We start from the raw sequence: 25661 nt of genomic DNA, 5'->3' as shown, positions 1-25661 counted from the left end.
CCCAAGTCTATATTCAAATTATGGATATTAAAAAGGAGATCTGATACTTTAGTTCTCATTTTCCAATATAAACCTGGTTCCTAGTTGATACCCTAGATTAATATGATGAGAATCAATATAGATAGCATAGACAAATGGATATAGAGTTCATGGTACACAGTTTAGAGTATAAGTTCTTTTGTGGGAGATTTGTTATAGCTGAATAAAAACTAGCATGAGAAAATATGACATTATGAATCTCAGCCTCTATATGAAAACAAATTCTTTCAATCTGTATGGTGAATCATCTCTATGCTGCAGATTTTTCTTCTATCAATAGAAGGCAAGAAAAGTGTATCACCAGTAGAAAATGCAACCAGTAAAGAATAAGGTATCAAAAGAATACTGAATTTGTCCTTTTTAAAAAAATCTATGAATATAGGATTTTTCCAAGTCTCCTAGTCAATACTACCAGTATTACCACATTTGAATTTTAGTAAAGTAATATATGTAGCCGTAGTAAATAGTCTGTGTAGAATTCCTGTGTTATTCACAAATACAAGAGATTACCTTTATGCAACCATTTGTTTACAAGTTCTGTCTCCTGAAAGATACCTTCATTCGGTATTTCCCTTTTATAGCATTGCTAGCCTAAAAGCTGAGTGTTACTTCTGTTTCCCAATGCCAGTGCTATAAATATAATATAAATCACATTCTATATAAATATAATATAAATCACATTCTAAGTAATTCTTCCTATATAATAGGCATAAACACAGTGATTAGGACACATAGGTATGTATGAGTCACTTGGGATTCAAATGTTGCTTTGAGGCAAGCAAAGAAAGAGCTGAATTAGCTCCCACTTCACAAAGGATTTACTTACAGGAAGTTGGAAATGGAAATCATAATATTTTTTAAATGAATTGGTATGTCTGTGTCAAAATTGAGCAGAATTGATCTGCACATTTACAAATAGTCACACACATCTAGTGAGCTAATTCCTGTGTGTGGTCCTATAGCTATGAAAAATATTAGAAAGAGGTTTCTTCCCTGGAATTTCTAGTAGAAGCTTCATTCTGGCCTTCTTGGATTTTCTTTTTATTAGCTGAGCGTCATGTCATTTTCCTGGATATTCCTTTGTTGTCAAGTTTCTTTAGGATTTTCCTTTTCTTTGTTTTAAGGAGTCGATGCTACTTATTTAGTTTTTTAATTTTAATATTCCTAGGATAGTGTTAGGTCTTTCCTGTTTGTTAATGCTCTGGTGCTGATTTGGAATCACTCAGTAGTTTGACTTTTTGGAAAAGTGCCTGACTTTTGGCATGTAAAAAGTAATTACAAATCTATTTTAACTGAGAATGGGAGCTGGAGAATTTAGTCTAATGTTTACACTCTGCAGAACACTTGGAAAAGAAGGCAAAACCAGATTGACTGAATCTTAATAATTATTTTTGTCTATATTGAAATTATTGTGACTGATTAGTCAAACTTCTTTTCTCCACTAGTCCCTGATCAAACTCTGGGAGTCTATGTCCACTCAAGCATTTCTTCCATCTCCCCCTCTGCCTTCTGACATGCTGACTTACACTGAACTGGTACTGGATGATCAAGGTCAGCTGGTCCACATGAACAGGCTTCCAGGAGGAAATGAGGCAAGTAGTTGAAACCCCCCTTCCCTTTCTTATCTCTGTGCCCACTAGTACCAGCTTTCTGTGAGGTGGTCATTAAATAGCACTGGAGCATGGTAGTCTTGTTGGGAGAGTTCTTTAGAGAGAGCATTGACTGAGTATCAAGAAATTATTAATTTTTTAGGTGTGATAATGGTATTATGATTTTGCTTTTTAAAATAGTATTGTTTTAACACAAAGGACTCAGTTTTAAAAAAATAAAAAGGAATATTGTTTTCTTTTAGAGATACAGACTAAGACATTTACAGATGCAATGATTTGCTTCTAAATAAAGAGGTGTGAGGGTGGGTGTGTAGATGAAACAGGGTTGGTCGTGAGTTGATCATTGAAGCTAGGTGATAGGTACATGAAAATAGATTATTTTCCCTGTTTTTGTCTATGTGTGAAATTTGGGGATTTTCTTTTTTTCTTTTTTCTTTTTTTGAGATGGTGTCTCGCTCTGTCACACAGGCTGGAGTGCAGTGGCTCAATCTCAGCTCACTGCAGCCTTGACCTCCATGTCTCAAGTGATCCTCTCACCTCAGCCTCCTGAGTAGCTGGTACTACAGGTGTGCACCACTACACTTGGCTAATTTTTGTATTTTTTTCTTGAGATGGGGTTTCACCATGTTGGTCTCAAGCTCCTGAGCTCAAGCAATCTGCCTGCCTCAGCCCCGAAAAGTGCTGGGATTTTAGGTGTGCACCATTGTGCCCAGCCAGGATTTTCTATAATGAAAACATTTAAAGTATTGTTTTGCTTAATGTTTTTTCTTATTTGGATTCATATTAATAAATGCATTTTTCAGTGTCTTCTCCATGCTCAATTCATTTGATCTGGTGCTGTTGTGAGCATGATAAATGTGTTCTTGAAGGGGCTCAATCAGAATTAGGGGTTCAAACATAAAAAATGTAGCAAAGAACCCATTTTTTGATAATTATCCCAAGAATGCATTTTCTAGCCTTGGCATCCTTTCTCTCAGAGTAACCTATGAATAGTGATATAAAGTCCTATTTTGCCCTATACTCTTATACTCTTGTCCATGCATTATGATTCTTTCTGATTTTAACTGTGCTCCTAATGTACAGTTATAACAATGATAATACCAGTAACAAACCTAAAAAGAGAGATATTTTTATTTCAACCTTAAATATAATCCCTAGAAAGATTTCATTCCATTGAAGGAGTAATCTTTACCTGTGTTTTCACCACAAATAGGCTGGGTAGACCTTTGGAAATAATAAGCAGTTTGTTTCTATTTTGCTCAATCTTTTTCAAAAAATTTCACTATATATACAAGGTGTGTGGCTATTTCAGTAATATGCCAGTGGATGCCAACAGTAGATGATTTGGTATCAAGATGGATGCAAGCATTGGACCAGATGGAGAGTATCAGACTTGTAGGAGTCTCAACAAATAGCAAAGTCAAGAGGACTGGGGTGGAAGGATGCAAAACATTTTGACAAGCATAGATATATACTCATCAGCACACGAAGTTGAAACAGAGGTTTCTGCCACTGTATGTAGCATCTGCCTAGTGAGCCCCTCAGCAGCAAAGAAAAGCTTCATTGTGCTAGACTTAAATTCTGATTCATTGAACAGTGTAGTCTTCAGGAATGGAAGGCACCCTTGTGAACATGGGGCTGAGAGCAAAATGGTTTTAACTAATGTAATTAAAACACAAAATGAGATTTTTGGCCACGTGAAAGCTAGCTGCAGTGCTGTGTGAAACCCCTTGCCATGATCTTTCTTTCCTGCTTTCTTTCTGCCCTCATTCTGTGTTTGAGCGAATGGAGACTCAGGGAATAGTGAAGTCCCAGAGGGACAGAGCTCTGTTCTTGCTGAAATTACAAGCACAGAGCTGCCTGGGCATGAACATGTAGTGTTTACTCTGCCAGTATGAATACAAATAGTCTTATTATACGGGCCTCTGTACCCAAAGACCACACACACACACACACACACACACACACACACGAATTTTTTAAAAATTAAAGGTTTTTTTTAACCCCTTTAAGACCTAACAAACCTTAGTGGAAAAGATATGTCTTAAACAGTTGCATAGGACTATAGCTATGACTAGTAGTAGATCTAGTATAGGAGCCACATGTTTTCCTTTGTCCAGTGCTTTAATAGTTTTGAAACCAGAAAGTGAATAGTATTTCTTCAAAAGATTTTGAGTTTTTGTCAGTTCTCACTTTCTTCTTGTTCTACAGTTTTCCCTCCTTAGTTGCCTATTTTCTTTGTTCTGTTTTTCTTTTCAAATGATTGACTAGGATTGAGGCTGAGTGTTAGCTTGCTGTTTCTGAGCCTTTGAGCTTGGGAGGAGTTAGACTGATGTTCTTTTGTGAGCAGTTAGTGACTAATGCCCAGGATGGCTGGTGAAGTCAGTCATTGGCCTTAGCTAGATTATAGGGCACTGCACAACAGGAATGAGGTTGGGGTGTTAGTATCAAACTCTGCTACCAATAGCTTGAACATACAATGGAGCATGTCCACTGAGAGACTGACCAATCTAAGGATGGAGTTTCAGCAGTCAGAACTCTGAGGGACAGCTGTGCCTAAGAGATGACAAAGTGTCAGTAGGATGTATTTCCTCGTGCTGAGCCCAGTTTTATCAGGGCAAGTTGACTTTCAGCTATTGCGGTTTAATTTTCTTTGGCCAAAGAGCAAGTTTGTCATGAGCCTGGCACTCTACATATTACCCCAAGAATGATGTGAAGGGAATGAACAGAGCTCATGCTGATGAGATTTGGAGTAAATCTGTCCTGTCCCAAAGAGAATGGGCATCTGGACAGAGCCTTGAGAAATAGTTTTATTACAAAAGAATAAAAAATTGACCTGTTAATGTTCTGAAAGCCAAGGCTCAATGTAAATGCATTGGTGCTATGTAGACATTAAATCATCATAATGTGGTGTTCTCCAAAAGTGACGGCTCTACCAGGTCATCATTGTGGGTGGTATTGCATTACCTTCAAGGATTGGAGTTTCTGAGTTTGAAAACTAGCACATGGATGTAAGGAGTAAGGGTAAAATGAGAGATTCCTTCAGAGTTTTCCCATGAATTGAGGTGCTTTTCTCCATGATCGAAGGCAGAAAACCTGCACTTATCAGACCATTGGCTGTATGGGTGGCCAGTCTTTCTAATTTTTTTTTCCAGGACAGTAAATAGGTAAAAAGGTGATGGGACCAGGACTTGGACCAATTCAGTTCCATTTAGTTTTAGGTAACTTCTTTGCCATTTGAGGAGGAATATTGGCTGTTTCAGTAGAGATGTGACCTGCATTTTGAACATTTATGCCTGTGTTTAGAGCAGGAGACAGAGCTTTTCTGATGCTGTATTAGCTACTGTCTCCTTTCTATTTTCCTAGTTGTCCCTTCCCCATAAAGAAAGATGTAACTAAAGGAGTACCACCTAATGCATGATGAAAGGTATAGGAGAACACATTTTTCTCATTGTCATATTTGAATGGCATTACATTTAGTATGACTTTAGAGTAGGAATAAAAAAGATGTAGACTAAATCTGTGAACTACGTTACTTGCAGATAGCTCCAAAGATGAGTTGTCCAAGATTTTTCTTAATAGTTTCAAGTAAAGATGAAAATTGAGGAAAATGTGATTGCAGCATAGACTAAACGGATCTCATTTCTAGCTGCTGTGTTGGTACAGTGATGGGCACTGTATGTAAATACACAGCTAGATGAATGTGTGCTGTTGAGCCTGGATACAGAAGAAATGCAGCTATCCAACAGTTCTGCTTTACCACTTCTCAATTTTGGAGGAATTGTTTTCATTTTCCTGCCAGTTTACTAACCTGTTTTGATCTTTTGGTGGAAGCTATAATTGCAGGTGGGGACATTTTGAGTAACAGTTCGCAATCCAGTACAGCTGCTTTTCGCACTAAATCCTGTTATTAAAAAGCTCAGGCTAAGATCAAGCCAAGGGCTGTAACGGACTTGACAGAGAACAACTTAACTTTGCCTGGTAGGACAAAGAAAATCCTAGCCTTCTTGAGACTATGCTCTTGTTTATTCTGAAATAAGTTACTAGCATTCTTTTATTTTATTTCTTTTTATCAGCTCTGCGAACTAGACCAGTAATCTCTAAAGTGGGCAATGCTGAAAGATATGTTAGAGAGTCAACTACCATAGTAACTTTAGTGCTAGTAGAAATTAGGACCCTGTTTTTCTTACCATATCAGAACATGGGCAGCTTTTTAACATTCTGTCTCATCATGCCTGTCATAATGAGAAACTGAGATGAGAAGACGATGTTGCGATGTTGTATTTGGAAGCAGTTATAATAATTAGGTACAAGATGTATATCCAAAAAAGGGGTTGGTATTCAGAGACTGGAATTCTTGGTATAAAAGTTTTTCTGGGAGGAAAGTATATTGAAAATTGAATGCAACTGGGGCCAGGCGTGGTGGCTTATACCTGTAATCCCAGCACTTTGGGAGGCTGAGGCGGGCAGATCATGAGGTCAAGAGATCGAGACCATCCTGGCCCACATGGTGAAACCCTGTCTCTACTAAAAATACAAAAATTAGCCAGGCGTGGTGGCGGGTGCCTGTAGTCCCAGCTACTTGGCAGGCTGAGGCAGGAGAATCGCTTGAACCCGGGAGGCAGAGGTTGCAGTGAGCCGAGATCGCGCCACTGCACTCAAGCCTGGTTACAGAGTGAGACTCCGTCTCAAAAAAAAAGAAAAAGAAAAAGAAAAAAAAATTGAATGCAATTTGATGGTCACCTCTACACACACTACCACTCTTAAGAATTGTGGTAGCTCTGAGCCTTCATTTTTTCAGATGGGCGCTAGGTGTCAGGGTTTTTCCTTCTCAGCAGCTTAGCATTCACATGAGCCTTGTGAGTGGCCTTGTTTGTTGAGGCAGATTCACTGGTGTCCTTCTTTTTTCAGTTGGTATAGTAGCCTTTACCTAGTGTTCCTGCAATAAGCAATTGCAATTTTAACTCTTTGGTTGAAGATCCTTTGAACCTTGCATTAGGGATCTATTTTTTTTTTTTAAAGAAGAGGATGATTGAAGAGGAAATAAAGTAGTGTAAATTAAAGTTTAAAGACTAGCTGACAGCCAGGCGCGGTGGCGCATGCCTGTAATCCCAACACTTTGGGAGACCAAGGTCGGCGGATCACTTGACGCCAGGAGTTTGAGACCAGCCTGGCCAACATGGCAAAACCCTATCGCTACAAAAAAAAAAAAAAAAAAAAATATATATATATATATATATATATATATATATATATATAAATTAGCCAGGCGTGTTGGCAGGCGCCTGTAATCCCAGCTACTCAGGAGACTGAGGCACAGGAATCTCTTGAGCCCAGGAGGTGGAGGATGCAGCGAGCCAAGATCGCACGACTGCACTCCAGCCTGGGCGACAGAGTGAGACTCTGGCTGAAAAAAAAAAAGACTAGCTGCCATCATGACTGGTATTTTGGTTTTAGTCCTGCTTTATGTTCTCAGGGGTGAAATGGTAGGGACAGTGGGGATTAGGGGTTCAGTTTTAGAACTGCTAGCCCAACTAATACCCATATTTAATTATTGTTTTAATTGTTGGCAATGTACTGATATCCTATGTCTCCCAAAGTATAGCATCTCATTAATTTTTTTATTTTAAACATATAAAAAAATACACAGTGATATGACAAATACCCCTGCATCTACTGACCAGCTTAAACAAATCTTACCATTTTGACTGGGCTCCTCACTTACATGTTACTATAATCCTTTGAATCTCTAATTTGAGTATCAAAAAAACAATTTAGGAGTTGGTAGGGAAAGGAAGTTGGTAAGCTTATATAAGCCTAAAAGATTAGAAGAAATTAATTAGTAGATCCATTTTGACAGTTCTTAGGCTGGACCTCTTAACCCAAAGGACCTCTTATTTTAGAAAAACCACCATAACCCTCTGTCTTAATTCACTTGGTTGACATTTTCCATACCCTCAAAGGAATTGCTTGGGTTATCCTGGACTCAGATTCTAGTGGAAAGCATTATGTTCTAAAACTCTGCCTGTAGAGAGTGTGTATATGCTTACGGGTTTTGGTGGTGAGAAAAGGGTAGGCCATTTCTCATGAACACAGGACCCAAATATTTAACATTAGATTTTTTAAATTGTTTTACTCAATTTAACCTCAAAATAGCTCCATGAATGTGATGCTAATTTGGATGTACTTTACCTTGCTTTTGTTTCATTCTTTTGAAATCAGTTTGCCTTTTCATGCTGTGTATAGAAATTGAGTCAGTGTCAGTCTTTTAGATATGTGTTAGAAAAGAGGCATATTTAAATTGTACTATGCTGAAGGTGAGTTCTGAAATAGACCTAAGCGAAGCGGGTCTGTAAAACAGGACCATGGTCTATGCATTGATTGTTCAACTTATAAAAAGGGTCTTTGCCATTAATCTGTCCCTAAAGATAGGAGAATGTTTATAAGTGCTTTGGGATCCTCAGCAGAAAAGGGTCAAATACATATGATTATGTATAATTATGATTATCCATAAATGATTATGATTATACATAAGTATTCATAATTTGTGCTTGCCTTATTTTTCATCAAGGCTTTGAAAAATCAATTTTGAATCCTTGAGATTAAGTATAGAGAAAGATATATTATGGCATATATGGTAAGATAATTTTATGTTAATTCTATGTTTTTGTTCTTTTATTCCCATTCTAAGTAAGTATATTTGGCTGCAAGTCTTTGTCTAAAATGATCTTCCAAACCAAACTTGGATCCCTCATTAGAAAAATATGGAGGCTAATTTTGAAAAATAAGTCTTCCTACCATGGAATTACTTCTAATGAATTTCTGACACTGTTCTTTTGGGATGTATATACTTTTCTCAGAATTCCTTCTGAATGACTATTATTGGTGTTGGAGATTTCTCATCAGGTTGAGTAGTTTTTACTCATTTTTTTGATAGCAAAATGAGGCTCAGTAACCTTGATTGACTTTGAAAATCCTAATGCATCCACTGGCTCACTAAAGTAGTACTTGTGGAGGGCTCCTCAGTTTCTTTCAAAAATAAGTCTAGAGATAGCCTTCAAACAAAAGAATGTACTTGCCAGCATATTTATACCTGTCTTAAGTTGTAAGATTTTACTGAAAAAGAATGTGACATAGTACCCTATGTCAAGAAACTTTACAGCTCCAACCAGAGGCAATAATGAACATCAGGACAGCAACAGATGACACCAGAGAATGAGGAGTAGCGGGGGGCACCAGAGTTCAGCACTCATTCGTATGATTAATGGACAAGGCTTCTGGGACTATAGTAGGCCAACTTGGTTAATTTCCATACCAACCAATTAATCCTGGGCCCCATTTCTCAAATACCGCTGGCTTCTATGTGCTCCACTGCATGTTTGTTAAAAAATAATTCCTATGCTTATTAAATTACTGTGTGTACATGTGTAAAATTACTGTGGTTTCATGTATATAAATGTTACAGGGAGAAATAATTTCCCTGTTCAAAATTGTTATTTCTAATCTTTGATAACATTTTCAAAGAATTACCTCTGGGATGAAAATTTTTTGCTCTAAGTTATATTTTTCTTACCCTTTTATCGCTGTTTAGAGAGGTTGAGGTGAGTTTGTTCAGCCATTTTTGAAGTAAGCCATAAGGCTTAAAATACAATATTTGACTTAATTTGTGCCATTTGGAAAAGCCATGCTGAAAAATATGTCAATGCCTTTCCATATTGTATTATTTGCCAGATATCAATGTTCTATTATTTAGTGTTCTGTGATCATGTGAAGGAGCTCAAAATAATTTTCTTAAGAGCTGAAAAACTCTTTTTTTCATGCTTGGATACAAGATACAAAAGGGGGAAAGAGGTAACATTTTGTTATATATCTGAGAAGGGACTCAAGTTCAGATTCCTGCTCTCTGGATCTTAGTTTTCTCATCTTTATGATGCAGATGATGCCCAAGTCTGGGTTAGCGCTAACATGCTTGGATTCTTTGTATTGCTGCTCAAGGGCCTTGCAGGGTAGTCATCTTCCTGGCATTAGCAGAATTAGAACAATAGGTTTTACAGACTCTTCCAAAAAAAACTCAAGATCATTTTAGCATGAATATAGCAAGGCTTTTAGCATGAATATAACGAATACAGCTTCAACATCTCAGCCACAGCCTAACCTGTATTTAAATCTGTATGGAAAGGTATTGTTAGAGCTCAAGTCAAAGTGTGGAGATGTAAGAAAGGCAGCTGTGGCAAAGATATTCTCTTTCTGCTTCCCACAGCATAGCTAGAGTTGATGGATATGTCTTTCACCCTTAAAAAACAAAATCCTGGCATGTTTTGCCCTTAGCTTTTCCTGCAAATTTCTTTGTTGAGCTTAATATTGTTGTTTTATTTTGTAGTAACAACAGCAGCTTTGGGAAGTGCCTGTGTGTGCTTGCACATTCTATTCACATTGATAGTACAATTAATGTTGATGTCAATTTTGGTGTTAATTTTGGGTCATGATTAGTGTTGACACTTTGTGTCAGACTAATGGCATTTATGGGCACCATCAGAATAAATGTTAATATTATCATGTTTTCACTATCTGTTATAGTAACATTAAACCAAGGTCCTCCCAGCAGAAAAAATACATATATGGATAGATAGATAATGCCTTTCTGTATCGCTGGTGTTACTCAGCGAGAAAATGACATCTCAGGGCAGAATCCTAATCACTGTTTGGAGCATCAGAAATAATGATCACCTCTGATCGGAGGTTGTGAATAATTCATTTGGTTTGATTTTCACGTCCTGTCCAGTGATACTTTTCAAACCAAATGTGTTTCTACAGGAAAATAATGGTCCCACTTCTTATGGAAATACTGTGGCACAAATCATTTTACCCACATAAAAACAGTTAAATAAGACTGTTCTCTTCTGCTTGCTTTCTCCTTCCCATCCCCTCCTCCCTCACTTGAGCTGTTCATTCCAGAATCAGAATGTAGCCAAAGAAATATGTTCTGCCTTAGAACTTGTATAAGGGAAACAAATATTTATTTCTGCTTATCCTTAGCTTATTCACTGTAGCTCTTTTCATCCTCTTCCCTTTTTCACTTTAAGATAATCAGCTTAGGTTGATAACCCTAAACCTAATAAACCTGCTCGTTGGAATGTTCTGTTATGAAAAATGATCTGAAATTAAATATTTTAAAACTTATTCATGGCTATAGTAATGACAAAATAATTTGTAGTAAGTACCTAGGACCACTTGTTTAGTCAGTGCATGAGAGAGGCAGTGATCAGAGAAGACGACACTGGCACTGCCCGTTTGAGTCTAAAACTCATTAGACCATAAACCCACCCACTTACATGCGGGCTACAGGGTACCTTTTTGTTAATTTCTTAGCTCTTCCATCTTCCTTCAGCTCTTAGTCCTGGCATGTCATTTTCACTGGGTTTCACCTGGATAAAAATGTTGGAGAGAAAGAGAAGACCCCCAAAAAGAGGGATTTAATGATGGGGTCTCCGTTAGTCATTATTCTTCAATTAATATACATGCAGATTGGGCTTAGGTGAAATCAATGAATGTCACATTGCTAATCACATTGTCACACTGTGTATACTTTTATAGTGATTGTAGAATTTTCGATATGAAATCTCCATTATGTATATAATATAGATAGACCCATCTATAGAAAGTAATTTGACTGAAAAACTTAACAGTGTACTAATTAGAGAGTGAAATATGACTCTCTTCCAAAGCAATGATCTAATCCTTTGAGATGAAGCTATTCTTAGGTAGAATATTTTGAACCATTTCTCCTGAATGTTGTAACCCTTTTTTATTTTTCCTAAATCTAACAAGGGCAGAGGGAAGCATTTTTCAATCTAGTTTTCATCATCAGACAGAAAGTATTTTGCATTCAGAAACCATTTCCAGTATCAAATTCAATTTTGTCAGGTGATTAGTTGAGTTGGGTAGAGAATAATTTAAAAACACAAAGCTGGAAATGGCTATGGTGCTTCTACACTGGAGGAGAGCTGTTGCTATTCTCAAGTTGCAAGCTTCCTCTCAGTGACTGTGCATCACAACTGGATTATTGTGTTGTATGTCTTTGCAGCTGTTACAGACCTGCATCTGTTGACACCATGTGTTCCTACCCAGGACTGGTAGAAGAAATAGGGGAGTGGGTGAATGAGTACCTTCCCTGCCTATCAGTGCAAACGTCCTTTTATGTACATATGTTTGTAAAGTTCTTTAGCCCTCTTCAAGATGAAAGGTTCTGTATAAATAAAAGCTTTCGATTTTAGTACATGTTTGTAATACATGTGGTACAGTCCTAAATATGTATTTAGCTGATACGCACTGTTCTTGTCTATTGTACAAATATTGACTTTAAAAATATAAATATGTATTTAACCATCAGACCAGAAAAACACTGAAGCAGTTACTTCTGAGGTAGAGACATTAATATTGTATAAACCTATATATACATATGTTTACACTCTACCACATCATTGCAGAGCATTTCTTTTTAGAAAATGAAATGATAACCCAACAAACTAACGTAGTTCTTGATATTTCTTTCTCTTTAAAGTGAGTCTTGATTTTTAATTTTCATACATTTATCTCTTTCAAATTTTATATAAATAAGATCGGTTGTAGTATGACTAAAATCTAGAATTAGTTCCTCTAAAATATGGGAAATCAATTAGGCTGGTGAGATTTTTTTCCCCCCTTAAATTTTTTTTTTTGTTATGGAAATGCTCAAACGTACACTAAAGTAGGCATAAATAATATAAACTCCCATGTACCTATCACCCAGTGAAGAGTATTTGGTAGTTTTCTTTTCTCAGTTATTTTTTATTTTATAAAAAGTTAAAGTTATCAATGCAATATAAACACAAAAAAGAAAATTTGGAGAATGGAAAAAAAATACAATTTCATCATCCCAATAATTATCACCTCATTTTGCTGTTTCTTATTTATTTTTGTTTTTACCCCGCAAAGTGCTTTTCAATTGATGAAGTTGTCATTCATACTATGCACTTACTATATACCAGGCACTATCCTAGGACTTAACATGTATTTAATCCTTACAACAAACTTATGCCGTAGATTTTTATTACCCTTGTTTTACCAGTGAAGGAACTGAGGTACAGGGAGGTTGATAACTTACCTTAGCGTATATGGCTAGAAAGCTGAGTCTCAGTTCTGTCAAATTATCTTAGATTCAGATTCAGAGTCTCAGAATGTGGCTCCTGAGTCTGAACCCTTTTCTAATTTAGTATTACATCATGGGTATTTTTAAATGCTATTCATAGTCTTCATAGTCATCATCTTATAAGGCTGTACAGAACACTAACAGTGATCTTGCTATCCAATTTACTTCCCTCCAAAATAATTTTAGATTTTCAGGAAAGTTACAAAGATCATATTAGAGAGTTCTGGTATACCCTTTCCCAGCTTCTCTTAATGTTAAAACACTTTATGTAACCATGATATGATTACCAAACTAAGAAATAAATATTGATACAATTGTATTAAATAAACCACAGACCTCTTTTTTTTTTTTTTTTTTGCCAGTTTTTGTACTAATATCTTTTTAATTAAGGAACATACTTCCTTAATTTCTCTAGTAAAGAAAATGCCATTTCTTGGCTGGGCGCGGTGGCTCGTGCCTGCTATCCCAGCACTTTGGGAGGCCGAGGCAGGTGGATCACCTGAGGTCAGGGGTTCGAGACCAGCCTGGCCAACATGGTGAAATCCCGTCTCTACTAAAAATACAAAAATTAGCCGGGCGTGGTGTTACGTGCCTGTAATCCTAGTTACTTGGGAGGCTGAGGCAGGATAATCACTTGAACCTGAGAGGCGGAGGTTGCAGCAAGCCAAGATTGCATCACTGCACTCCAACCTAGGCACAGGTTGCAGCAAGCCAAGATCACGCCACTGTACTCCAGCCTGGGCAATGGCCTGAGACTCTGTCTCAAAAAAAAAAAAAAAAAAAGAAAATACCATTTTTGTGTATGTGAAACTCCTTTTAAAAAATAAGCACTTTGGGAGGCCAAGGCGGGCGGATCACAAGGTCAGGAGTTCGAGACCAACCTGGCCAACATGGTGAAACCCCATCTGTACCAAAAAAAAAAAAAAAAAAAAAATGCAAAAATTAGCCAGGCCTGGTGGCATGCACCTGTAATCCCAGCTACTCAGGAAACTGAGGCAGGAGAATTGCTTGAACTCGGGAGGTGGAGGTTGTAGTGACCCGAGATCACGCTACTGCACTCCAGCCTGGGTGACGGAGCAAGACTCCATCTCAAAAAAAAAATAAGTAAACAATTCACATTAGCTATAAGGACAGGTTACTTAATTCCTCTGTGCCTTAATTTCCTCATGGCAATAATTACAGCTACCTTTGAATTAATACTGACTACCATTTGAGGGCTTTTGTGTGCCAGGCTCTGTACTAGTTTAACATGGTGTTGCTCACAACAATACCTCCAGAAAGGTGCTGTCATCCCCATTTTATAATTGGAAAAGTGAAACTGTAAAAGGTTAAGTGTCCAAGGTTATACGGCTAGCATAAAACTGAGATTTGAACCAAGACAGCTTGACTTTGCAGCTTAAGCTCTTAACCACTATCAGTAGTTGTCAACTTTTAGAACAGTACAGCAGATAGTAAATGTTCAATTAATGGTAGTTATTATGATAGCTATTGTTATTTTTAAAATAAAATAGTTTAAGAATATTCAGGACTCTTATTCTATGATTCCTAAAATATAAGTGGCAATGTTCTAAGCCCTTGGTGTTAAGTATTTTTCAAGTGTTATTTTTAAAAGTGAGGCAGGGTGCAGTGGCTCACACCTGTAATCCCAGCATTTTGGGAGGCCGAGACAGGAGGATCACTTGAGTCCAGGAGTTCAAGACCAGCCTGGGCAAGATGGTGAGACCCCATCTCTACAAAAAATAAAAAAAATTAGCTGGGCATGGTGGTAACACACATGCCTGTGGTCCCAGCTACACAGGAGGCTGAATGGGAGAATCACTTAAGCCCAGGAGGCCAAGGCTTCAGTGAGCTGTATTTGTGCCACTGCACTCCAGCCTAGGTGACATAGCAAGACCCTGTCTTAAAAAAAAAAATTAAATTGAAAAAATAAAAAGACTCTGGAACTAGCAAACATTTATTACTCCCAGACTATGTTTAATGTTCCTGGGAAGCACTAGAGGAGATGCTATAATCGTTCAAGATGGTAAGCCAAAAGCAATCCTAGGCAGCATATAATTAGTTATCAGAAGAATTCTCAGGCTGGGCAAGGTGGCTCACGCCTATAATCCCAGTAATTTGGGAGGCCTAGGCAGGAGGATGGCTTGAGGCCAGGAGTTTGAGACCAGCCTGGGCAACATGGTAAAATCCTGTCTCTACAAAAAAATGCAAAAATTGGCCGAGTATGGTGGCACATGCCTGTAGTCCCAGTTATTTGGGAGGCTGAGATGGGAGGATTGCCTTGAGCCCAGGAGTTGAAGGTTGCAGTGAGCCAAGATTGTGCCACTACACTCCAGCCTGGGTGACAGAGCGAGACTCTGTCTCAAAAAAAAAAAAAAAAATTCTCTACACAGAGGTCTTAGTAGGAGATCAGAAAAGATAGGAATTACTTTAGGCTGGGAGAAGCTTTACTGAGGAAATGGAATTTGGATGAACCTTTTGGAATGGGTAAGATTTGGACAGAGTGAGAGGAGAGGAGAGAGAAAGACAAAGTTTTTTACGTAGAAGTTAATATAGTAGATTTCTGCTTCTAATAGTGTGTTTATCAAACCCATGGGTATTATTTTCTTAATTTCGCATGTGGGGACATTGAAGCTCAGTAAAATTAAATAATTTTCTTAAGATCACACAGTTAGTTAATATAAGTGATAGCGCCTGGATTTGGATCTAAGTTTGTTGGACTCCAAAGCCCATGTTCACCTTTATATGCCCTATCCTTTGATTAGCAGTGAAATCTAAATTATTTTAATGTAAATTGAATAATAGTGCTTTCTTAGATGTTTGTCCATCATGCTACCTCAAAACTGAATGTCTTCTGATCAGGAATCTTGCTGCACTGAGACTGGGATAACACTCTCCATTCTGTAATGGTACTTTTTAAGATGGGGGGCGGGGCGGGGTGGGGAGGCGGTCGATGAGCAACATACTTTGGAAAGACATTGATAAAGAATAGTGTGTTCTTGGTGCTGCTGTGCTGACACCTAATTAGAAGTCAATATTGCAAGCATAATGACCTAGCCAATTGCTGAACTTGCTGCCCAAGTGACACAGTTAGAGTCCCCAGGTAGTAATGAAAGATAAGAGTATTATTTGCCTGCCCAGTGCCACATGGTCACAATGTTTACATTAGCACACAAATGCTGAAGTAGATTCTTCAGGGCTTGTATCTAAGCTGCTTCTGGCCTATGTGCCTAGGGTTAATATATCATAAAATTTGGTGTAAAACGCAATCTTTCTAACTACAAATGCATTTAGAGGAAAATTGACAGAAAATAGCTTTTCATTCCTGAAAAACAAAAGGTTTGGGGTTAGAGGGGCATGTGTGAAGGCAGATAAAGCATTTCTCCTCATGCAGGGATTATATTAACTAGCTTCTTAGAAACCACAACCAAAATTATCCTGATATTTGAGTGTTCACTGTGTTATTTTTTGAATGATCTATTTTTCCTTCCTTTCTCTGTCTTTAATGAGTAGATAGAGTAATACCTTATCTTAGAAAGTGATTGGATTTTTTTCTGTGTATCATATCCATTTTGACTTGTATTTGGCCAATGGTATGATATATTAAATAGCTTATATTTATCTGAGGGTGTTTCATATATATATTTCCTAATGCTGAGAATCACAAATAGCTGTGTAGAATGCTTCAACCAGCCTGATTACAGTGGATGTGCAATTGGATTGAGGAATGTGTACTCAGAGCTTATGATCACTGGCCTGGTTGAGTCTGGGTGATGCATGTGGCTTTCCAGGGATGCCGCTATTTACATCTGTTAATGGCCCTTCTTGATGGCCAGCTCCCCAATGAGGTGATATGCAGCAGCCTGGGGATGAGGGACCAAGGCTGCAGATGTGGCTGGGGCTCCATTAGGCAGGACCAGGGAAGCTCATCTGGTAGGTAGGCTTTGTGTTTGGTGGCGAGTGGTGGGGGCAAGGAGGGGGGTGAGAGACAGAAAGAAAGGGGGAAAAAAAGAATGGAAAACATTACTTATCCAGGTATAGGGGAAACAGGCAGGCAGACATGAAAAACTACAGCTGTAACTAGCGTATGAATGAATAGCATAGAAAAGAAATGGAACTAGCAAATATACAAGTAGAAGGATTGACTAGTTCTCATATAGAAGGGGATTAAAACAGGAGAGGGCTGTGAGAGTTTGGGAAGAGACATGTCACCTCTGCCTTTTAAGTCAATATCATTTATTTGTGTAGCTGGCCAGATGCTGCTGAACAGAGAGCAGAGATTTACATATAGTGCAGCAAGAGATTAGTTATTTCCATCCTTTGGTTTTTCTGGTGCTAGAAGAAAGCAAGAGATGCTCACAAGGATGCAATGTTGAGCATTGGTAAATTCTAGCAGAAATGGAACATACCTGAAACAAATCAGTAAAGAGTGTTTCTGTTATTCCTATCAAATGCTAGAGGACAGTACAAGGAGCCTGGATCATGAAAAGTGTACAGTCCGTGAGACGTCATCCTTTTTCTGCTTCCTTGTGTGTTAAAGGTTTCTTGGAACAAATGTCACAAAAGATGGAAATAGTGTCTGTGATAGTCCATTTGTGTTGCTATAAAGGAATACCTGAGGCTGGATAATTTATAAAGAAAAGATGTTTATTTTTGGATCATGGTTCTGCAGGCTCTATAAGCATGGCAACTGCATCTGTTGGGCTTCTGCTAAGGGTCTCAGGAAGCTTATGATCTTGGAGGAAGGTGAAGGGGGACCCAGCACATGACATGGTGAGAGAGGGAGCAAGAGAGAGGTGAGAGGGAGCAAGAGAGAGGTGGGGGGCAAAGTGCTACACTCTTTTTTTTTTTTTTTTTTTTAGCACCGTGACATTTTTGAGTTAATTTAAGCCACACCTGGGTGAGAGGGCCCTGCACCTAGAAGAAGGTGTTGGGACTCTTGGTGGTGAAGTATGGCTTATGCTAACCATGCAGGACCCCATGGGGCAGTGGGAACTTGATCTCGGAGTCATGGAACTGTTTGACCGCCAGCTGGCAGCACTTGCTGGCCGCAGTCTCCACCTTCATGATCTGGGTGGAGTGGGCCTGTGTGTGATGCCAGGTGCCCATGTCTCACTAGCACTGGATGACAGCACCCATGGTGGTCAAGTCCTGATATCCAGTACATGTTGTAGGTGCTGCTACGGGAGTCGTAGTGCAGCTAGATGCCAGATTTCTTCACCTGCAGGGGGGATTTCTCAAACACCTACCTACAGTAGACAATTTTCCCTGAAGACTCCTTATCTTCTTTAGCTGAGATACCAAGTACCAGAGACGGGACTTGACAATGACATGATTAGGTGCAAGATTCGCATACCATAGAAGGGCAGCATGTGGCATTTGGGGGTGGGCAGGCAGCAACCCACCACCTTGTACTCTTGTAGTGTGCCCAAGGCGTTCATAGCACTCTCTTCATGCTTGCTTTCACCCACAAGAGGCCACACTCTTTCAAACAACCAGATCTAGCATAAACTCAGATCAAAGGGGAGCACCAAGCCATTCATGAGGGATCCACCCCATGACCCAAACACCTCACACCAGGCCCCACCTCTAATGTTAGGAATCATATCTCAACATGAGATTTAGAGAGGACAGACATCCAAACCATATCAGTGTCTTAGTATATATGGCAGTAAAATGAGATATCTAGATTTAATCAACAGTGCCATGGCATTCTTCCACATGTATCCTGAGTGCATTTAGATTTTGACTTTTCTGTCTTCTTTGAGCAGGCCCAAAGAAGGAATTGAGACAGTTTTGAAATACACAGTAGACCAGCTGTTCTCAGCATAATCTAGCAGTATACTAGAATGTCTTTTGTAGTTTCCCACAGGGAGTTTGGCTCTTTAGCAATGTGTATCTTTACATAATGGCTGTGCCTAGGTATACTCTGATACCTTCAATGAACCTGAAAAAAATTCTGCCTGTAAGAAACTTCTGTTCATTTGTTTGTTTATGCCTTTCCAGATTGGCATGGTAGCTTGGAAAATGACCTTTAAAAGTCCTGAATATCCAGAAGGCCGAGATATCATTGTTATTGGCAATGACATCACATACCGAATTGGGTCCTTTGGGCCTCAAGAGGATTTGTTATTTCTCAGAGCTTCCGAACTTGCTAGGGCAGAAGGTATTCCACGCATCTATGTATCAGCCAACAGTGGAGCAAGAATCGGACTGGCAGAAGAAATTCGCCATATGTTTCATGTGGCCTGGGTAGATCCTGAGGATCCTTACAAGGTACACACTAAGAGCATATACTACTTCAAGGTGCTATATGGTTATGCTACATGTGTGGAGAGGTGGGGGAAGGGTAGAGGTTTAAGTTCAAAAATCACCACTTATGGTAAAAATTAAATATAAACAAAATTATTTGTGAAAATTCCTTAAGACACCATATTAAAGACAAATTATTTCTCAATATGTTCACTTGGTTTTTCTTCCATCTATAAAACAGGTTGCTGTTTCTTTGGTTGAGCACTAGATGAAATAGTAGGTATGCATTTAGTGCGAGACATGCTAAATCAAAAATATATATCTTTATTTAATTGTGGCTTCCAGGACTTACGGTCAATTATCAACAAAATCCCTTACCTCCTCATCTTCTGCTCCAACCTCCTTGTTCACCTTGAGATCTGTCTCTCCTCTAAAGATATTGCTTCCCCCGTAGCCCTCTGAAGTACTGACTGATTTCTGTCTTTCTTTTGAACCACTGAGCCTGGAAGGGGAATATTGTCCTCCTTGATCCTCATTGCTGCTTCCAGACACCTCTCCCTTCTCTCTGAAAAAATCCCATCTTTGAATCTCATGTCATCAGACTGTGCCATACCCATACTGCTCCTTGTGTTTCCTGATCCTTTGGTCACTCCCTCTCATTCTTTGCATCTTTTAGTTCCTGGCACATTGCCACTCTGTCCATTACTAATAGTCATGTGATAATTCTTGGTGATTGCTATATCCACATAGATGATTCTTCCCATAATCTGGCCTCTTGGATCCTTGACTTCTTTTCTTCTAGTGGTTCTGTCCTATACCCTAGCTCAGCCTCTCATTCCCCATAATCTCAATTTCAAGTATCTCTTTCTTTGCTACCCCCTCCATCCTCTCTTTCCAGCTTCCTCTCTCTAGTCCAACAATCCTTTGAAATCATCAGTACCATTGAGTTGAACTCACCTGTTTATCCTCCCACCTTTCTTCTGTTCTTCACTCCCTCCTTACACCTCATTTCATTCCTATCTGGCTTAAACTCCAAGGTCAGTCCTTGATTAATCATTATAATCACCATCTTTTCTGCACCTTCAACTTTCTCTCTCAACTTGCTTCAACTTGCTTCTCTCTTCACTCTGCTTACTCTGTGCTTTTACAGAGTGTTTAAATCCAACTCTCTCCATTCTGCTCCCATGCCTGCACCTGCCCAGCTGAACTTTGATGGAGAAAAAAACAGTTCTGTTGACTGATCTTACTTTAAATTCAAGCTTAGCAACCTCCTGGATGACGGTTTCACATCTCTCCCCTCAAACCTGTAACACGCACTTCCCTCTCCCCACTCTTAGCTGATATCATCAGACCTTGCTTCCCAATTTTCAAGAAAAGAGAAACAATGAGAAGAGAGCTTCTACAAGCTTCCATGTACCTGCATCCGTTGTGCCCTTACTCTTCACCTTCTCTTCCACACTTTGAATGAATAGTTCCTACTTCTGTCTAAAGACAATCCCTCCTCTTGTACATTTGATCTCCTTTCTTGCTAACTTAAGTGTACGATCAACACTTCCTCCTGCTCTTTTGTGCATCAGCACTTTTTCCCTCTGTACTGTATCAGCCCTTTTAGCATACAAACACCCCTCCAGTCACTGTCCCTCCCCTCCTTCCCTTTACAGGAAAATTGTTTTAAAGGAGTTGTTCTTGCTGTCTCCAGATGTTCTTCTCCCATTCCCTCTTGAACCCACTTCACTTGAGCTTGCACCCTTACCATTCCACTGAAGCTGCTTTTGTCAGGGTCACCAGTGATTCCATATTACTGAATTCTATGGTGAATTCTCAGTCTTCACCTTAGTTATTTGACAATAGCATTAGCATTTGACACAGTTGGTCATTCCTTCATCCTTGAAATACTTTCTTCTGTTGGCTTCCAAGAGCCCAAAGTCTCCTTTTTATCTTCCTGCATTCCTGGCTCCTCTTTCTCAGTTTCCTTTGCTGCCTTTCACATCTTTAAATGTAAGAGTATTTCAGGAGATGATGGAAATATTCTATATTTTGATTGTGGTGGTGGCTACCTAAGTACATACATTTGTCATAACTCATCAAGTTATAACACTTAAAACTGATGAATTTTATTGCATGTAAATTATATTTCAATAAAGTTCATAGAAAAACTTTATTAAAGTATGGGAATTGATCCAGTACAGGGGTTTTTCTGGGGCTGATGAAAATATTCTGGAATTAGTGGTAATGGTTGCAAAACATCTGAATATACTAAAGTCTACTGAGTTATACATTTCAAAATGGTGAATTTTGGCTGGTTGCAGTAACCCAGCACTTCGGGAGGCCGAGGCAGGCAGATCACTTGAGGCCAGGAGTTCGAGATCAGCCTGGCTAACATAGCGAAATACCATCTCTACTAAAATATAAAAAATTAGCTGGTCATGGTAGCACACGTCTGTAATCCCAGCTATTCGGGAGGTAGAGAGGCATGAGAATTGCTTGAATGCGGGAGGTGGAGGTTGCAGTGAGCCAGGATCGTGCCATTGTACTCAGCCTGGGTGACAGAGTGAGACTAAAAAAAAACTTTAAAAACCAAAATGTTTAATTTTATGTTATATTAATTTTATCTCTTTTTTTTTTAAGAGACAGGGTCTAGCTCTGTCACCCAGGCTGGAGTACAGTGGCACATTCATAGCCTACTGTATCTGCCAACTCCTGGGCTCAAGTGATCCTCCCACCTCCACCTCTCAAGTAGCTGGGACTACAGGCGCACACCACTACACCCAGCTAATTTTATTATTTTTCATAAAGACAAGGTTTTGCTGTGTTGCCCAGACTTCTCTCAAACTCCTGGCCTCAAGTGATCCTCCCACCTTGGCCTCCCCAAGTGCTGAGATTATAGGCATTAGCCACTGTGCCTGGCCAGTTTTTTTAATTATAAAAAAAAGTGAATGGAGACATGTCAGGAGCACAGAGGCTGCAGCAGGACCAAGAAGTTCTGGACTCCCCATTCTCAACCCCACTAGGACCCAATGCCCTCTCACCTGGTGGTTTGGCAAGACAGCCAATATAGAAAGTAGGGTAGAAGGAAAAAAGTGATTCAAGGGCTTGGTCCCTGGACTACTCCTCTTTTCCTATTCACCTTCCCTTGGTGATCTCATCCTGTTTTTTTGTTTTGTTTTGTTTTTTTGAGACAGGGTCTCACTGTGTTGCCCAGGCTGGTGTGCAGTGGTGCGATTATGGCTCAATGCAACCTCTGCCTCCTGGGTTGAAGCAATTTTCCAGCCTCACCCTCCTGAGTAACTGGGACTACAACCATGCACCAGCATGCCTGGCTAATTATTTTGGTTTTTGTAGAGATGGGGTTTCCCCACGTTGCCCAGGCTGGTCTCGAATTCCTGAGCTCAAAGTGATCCGCCCATCTTGGCCTCCCAAAGTGCAGGAATTAGAGGTGTGAACCACCGCACCCAGCCTCATCCAGTCTTTTAAAGCTTTAAGTTTCATGTACAAGCTGATAAACTTCCAAATTTATATCTTACCCCTGAACACAAGATTCATATATCCAGACTCAACATCTCTACTTACATCTGCCTAAATGTCTGCCTAAATTGTAGCTTCTAATCTTCCTTTAATGTGTTCTTCCCACAGTCTTCTGTCTCAACAGATGGTACCTCTATTGTTTCATTTGTTCAAGTAAAAGACCTTGGAGTTATTCTTGACTTCTGTCTTTCTTGCACACCCCACATTCACTTCCACACCCCATTCATCCATCTAAACAGTAAATCATGTTTACATCCCTACCTTAAAATATATCCAGAATCTGAGTACTTCTAACAAATTCCACAGCTACTTACTAGCAGTAGCAGTAGTCTAACTCTTCTTACCTGCATATTGCAGTACCCTCCTAATTGGTCTTCCTGCCTCTGGCCTTGCTCCCAGCCCCACCCAAGGTCTGTTCTCAACAGAATGTAGAATGAGGCCATGTGTGGTGGCTCATGCTCATGCCTGTAATCCCAGCACTTTGGGAGGCTGAGGCAGATGGATCAACTTGAGGTCAGGAGTTCGAGAACAGCCTGGCCAACATGGTGAAACCCTCTGTCTACTAAAAATATAAAAATTAGCTGGGCATTGTGACAGATGCCTGTAATCCCAGCTACTTGGGAGGCTGAGGTGGGAGAATTACTTTAGCCCAGGAGGCAGAGGTTGCAGTGAGTCAAGATCGCACCACTGCACTCCTGCCTGGGTGACAGAAGGAGACTCTGCTCAAAAAAAAAAAAAAAAAAAAAAAGATAGAATGATCTAGTTAAAATATAAATCAGATCACAAAATTTTTCTCCACTTAAAACCCTTTAATAGCTTCCCAATTCATTCAAGTAAAAGCCAAAGATCATATAGTTGCCTACAAGGCCTTACATAGATTGGCTTTCCAGTACCACTCTGCCCTCATTTCTTGCTACAGCCTCCCCTGACCATTCCACACATTGGCTCTACCCGACTCTGCTTTCTTAAACCTGCGAAGCACATCATGCCTCAGTGCATTTGTACTTGCTGCTCCTTCTACCTAGAATGCTTTTTCCTCAGATATCCTCATGTCTCATAGCCTCAGCTCCTTTAGGTCTTTACTCAAATGACACTTTTCAATGAGGCTTTCCTTGGTTATTTTTTCTAAAAGTTCGACTGTCTACCTTCTCTTTCATTTTGTTTTCCTTAAACGTTATTCCCATTTACATTATACATTTTACTTATTTTGTGTATTTCCTGACTTTCCGAGTAGGAGGTATGTTTCATAAGGGTAGGAATTCTTGTCTATTTTTGTTAATTCCTGTTTTTCCAGTGCCTGGAATAGTACCTTGTACATAATAGGCACTCAGTAAATGTGTACTGACTGACATACTAATGACACTCAGTGCTGTCAGGCATTCTCAACACAAATCATGCAAGACCAATCGCAGATTTATGTCTTTTCCGTGTTGTGCTCACTGTGGGACATACATTTATTGAGTTAAATGGTGGGCATAATTTCTCATAGTATTTAAAATGCTTCCCTGTGTTTACTTATTTTTTTGACTGAGTGACTAATTCACTTAAGTTAAACACATATACCATGTAACTCTACTTTGTATGTGGCTGTGTGTATAGATACATATAAATCAATTATGAAATGTTAGTATAATTGTTTACATGTAAATGGGCATTAGGAGTTGTTTATTGAAAAAACAAAAGATCTGAGTTCAGTGTTCACTATTAGCACTGTGTAGACTTCTGATTTTAATATTGAATCTCCTAGATTTGCGGTTTTCTGTTATCCCTTGCTTATATTTATTTTGATGATCCTGTGGATTTGAGAGAGTGAAAAATAGTAATTCACACAATTCTTTAATTACATGTTGATATCTTTAATAGAGATGTCACTAAAGATCAGAAAATGACCCTTTAACCCTGTTGAAAATGAAATGAGGCCGGGAGCAGTGGCTCACGCCTTTAATCCCAGCACTTTGGGAGGCCGAGGCGGGCGGATCACGAGGTCAGGAGATTGAGACCATCCTGGCTAACACGGTGAAACCCTGTCGCTACTAAAAATACAAAAAATTAGCCAGGCGAGGTGGTGGGTGCCTGTAGTCCCAGCTACTTGGGAGGCTGAGGCAGGAGAATGGTGTGAACCCAGGAGGCGGAACTTGCAGTGAGCTGAGATCGCGCCACTGCACTCCAGCCTGGGCAACAGAGTGAGACTCCATCTCAACAAAAAAAAAAAAAAAAAAAAAAAAAGAAAGAAAGAAAGAAAATGAAATGAAGGGAATATACTTGGAATTGCAGCTATAAGGTGTCTTGTTTCAAGGACAGTTAGTGAGTGAAAAAATAGGCACTTCATCTTTCAAAGGAGGACTGTCTGTGCTAGTATTCTGTTAGACAGTAAACCTAAGAAGTGATGTGGCAATTTAAAGCTAGCTGTGGAACAAGCTTCATTATGTATGCTTTGCTGTATCTTCTGATTATATGACAATGGCAAATAATGAGTTAAAAACTATTTGTGCTTCACAGGGATACAGGTATTTATATCTGACTCCTCAAGATTATAAGAGAGTCAGTGCTCTCAACTCTGTCCATTGTGAACACGTGGAAGATGAAGGAGAATCCAGGTAGGTATATATGTATTGGAATAATTTGGTCATGACTAAAGAAAGGAGAATATGGTATTTTTTTCCATATTGTACAGCTGTTCATAACCTTGAAGAACATTGAAGATGACATAATCTAGATGTTTTAGGTTTACATCCAGCTCTACCACTTATTAGCTGAAGAACCTTGGGTTATTGATTGAAGTTTTTAAATTTATAATACTTAATTCATTTTAGAAAAACTGAAACATGTAAACAATTATAAAGAAAAAAAAATTAGCCACAATCCCACCTTCAGGCCACGATTATGAATTTATGTTATACACTTGCTGTCTTTTCTATAGACATATCTTTTTTCTATGTGATTGAGATTATAACAAGAATTTCTTTTATAATTTATCCTTTTCACTAAAAACTATTTTTGGGGAAATTTCGTGTATTCTTAAAACATTATTTAAGAATATGATGCTTAAT

At 39.0% G+C, this 25661-nt stretch overlaps 1 protein-coding gene and 1 pseudogene across 26 annotated transcripts in view; one reads left to right on the top strand and one right to left on the bottom strand.

The window, feature by feature from the left end:
• The window catches only part of ACACA (acetyl-CoA carboxylase alpha), a 321845-nt gene that overhangs the window by 225946 nt on the left and 70238 nt on the right, over positions 1-25661 (top strand). For all 26 annotated transcript variants that reach the window (XM_011524701.2, XM_006721853.2, NM_198834.3 and 23 more), the window contains 3 exons: positions 1485-1631; positions 18841-19110; positions 25111-25208. In XM_011524701.2, the coding sequence (XP_011523003.1) occupies positions 1485-1631; positions 18841-19110; positions 25111-25208 (515 nt within the window). The remainder of the gene's footprint in view (positions 1-1484; positions 1632-18840; positions 19111-25110; positions 25209-25661) is intronic.
• RPL18AP12 (ribosomal protein L18a pseudogene 12) lies at positions 17695-18311 on the bottom strand (annotated as a pseudogene).

This window comes from Homo sapiens, chromosome 17 (genome assembly GCF_000001405.40).
Source record: "Homo sapiens chromosome 17, GRCh38.p14 Primary Assembly".
Lineage (NCBI taxonomy): Eukaryota > Metazoa > Chordata > Mammalia > Primates > Hominidae > Homo > Homo sapiens.
This window is presented reverse-complemented; position numbering and strand designations above follow the sequence as displayed.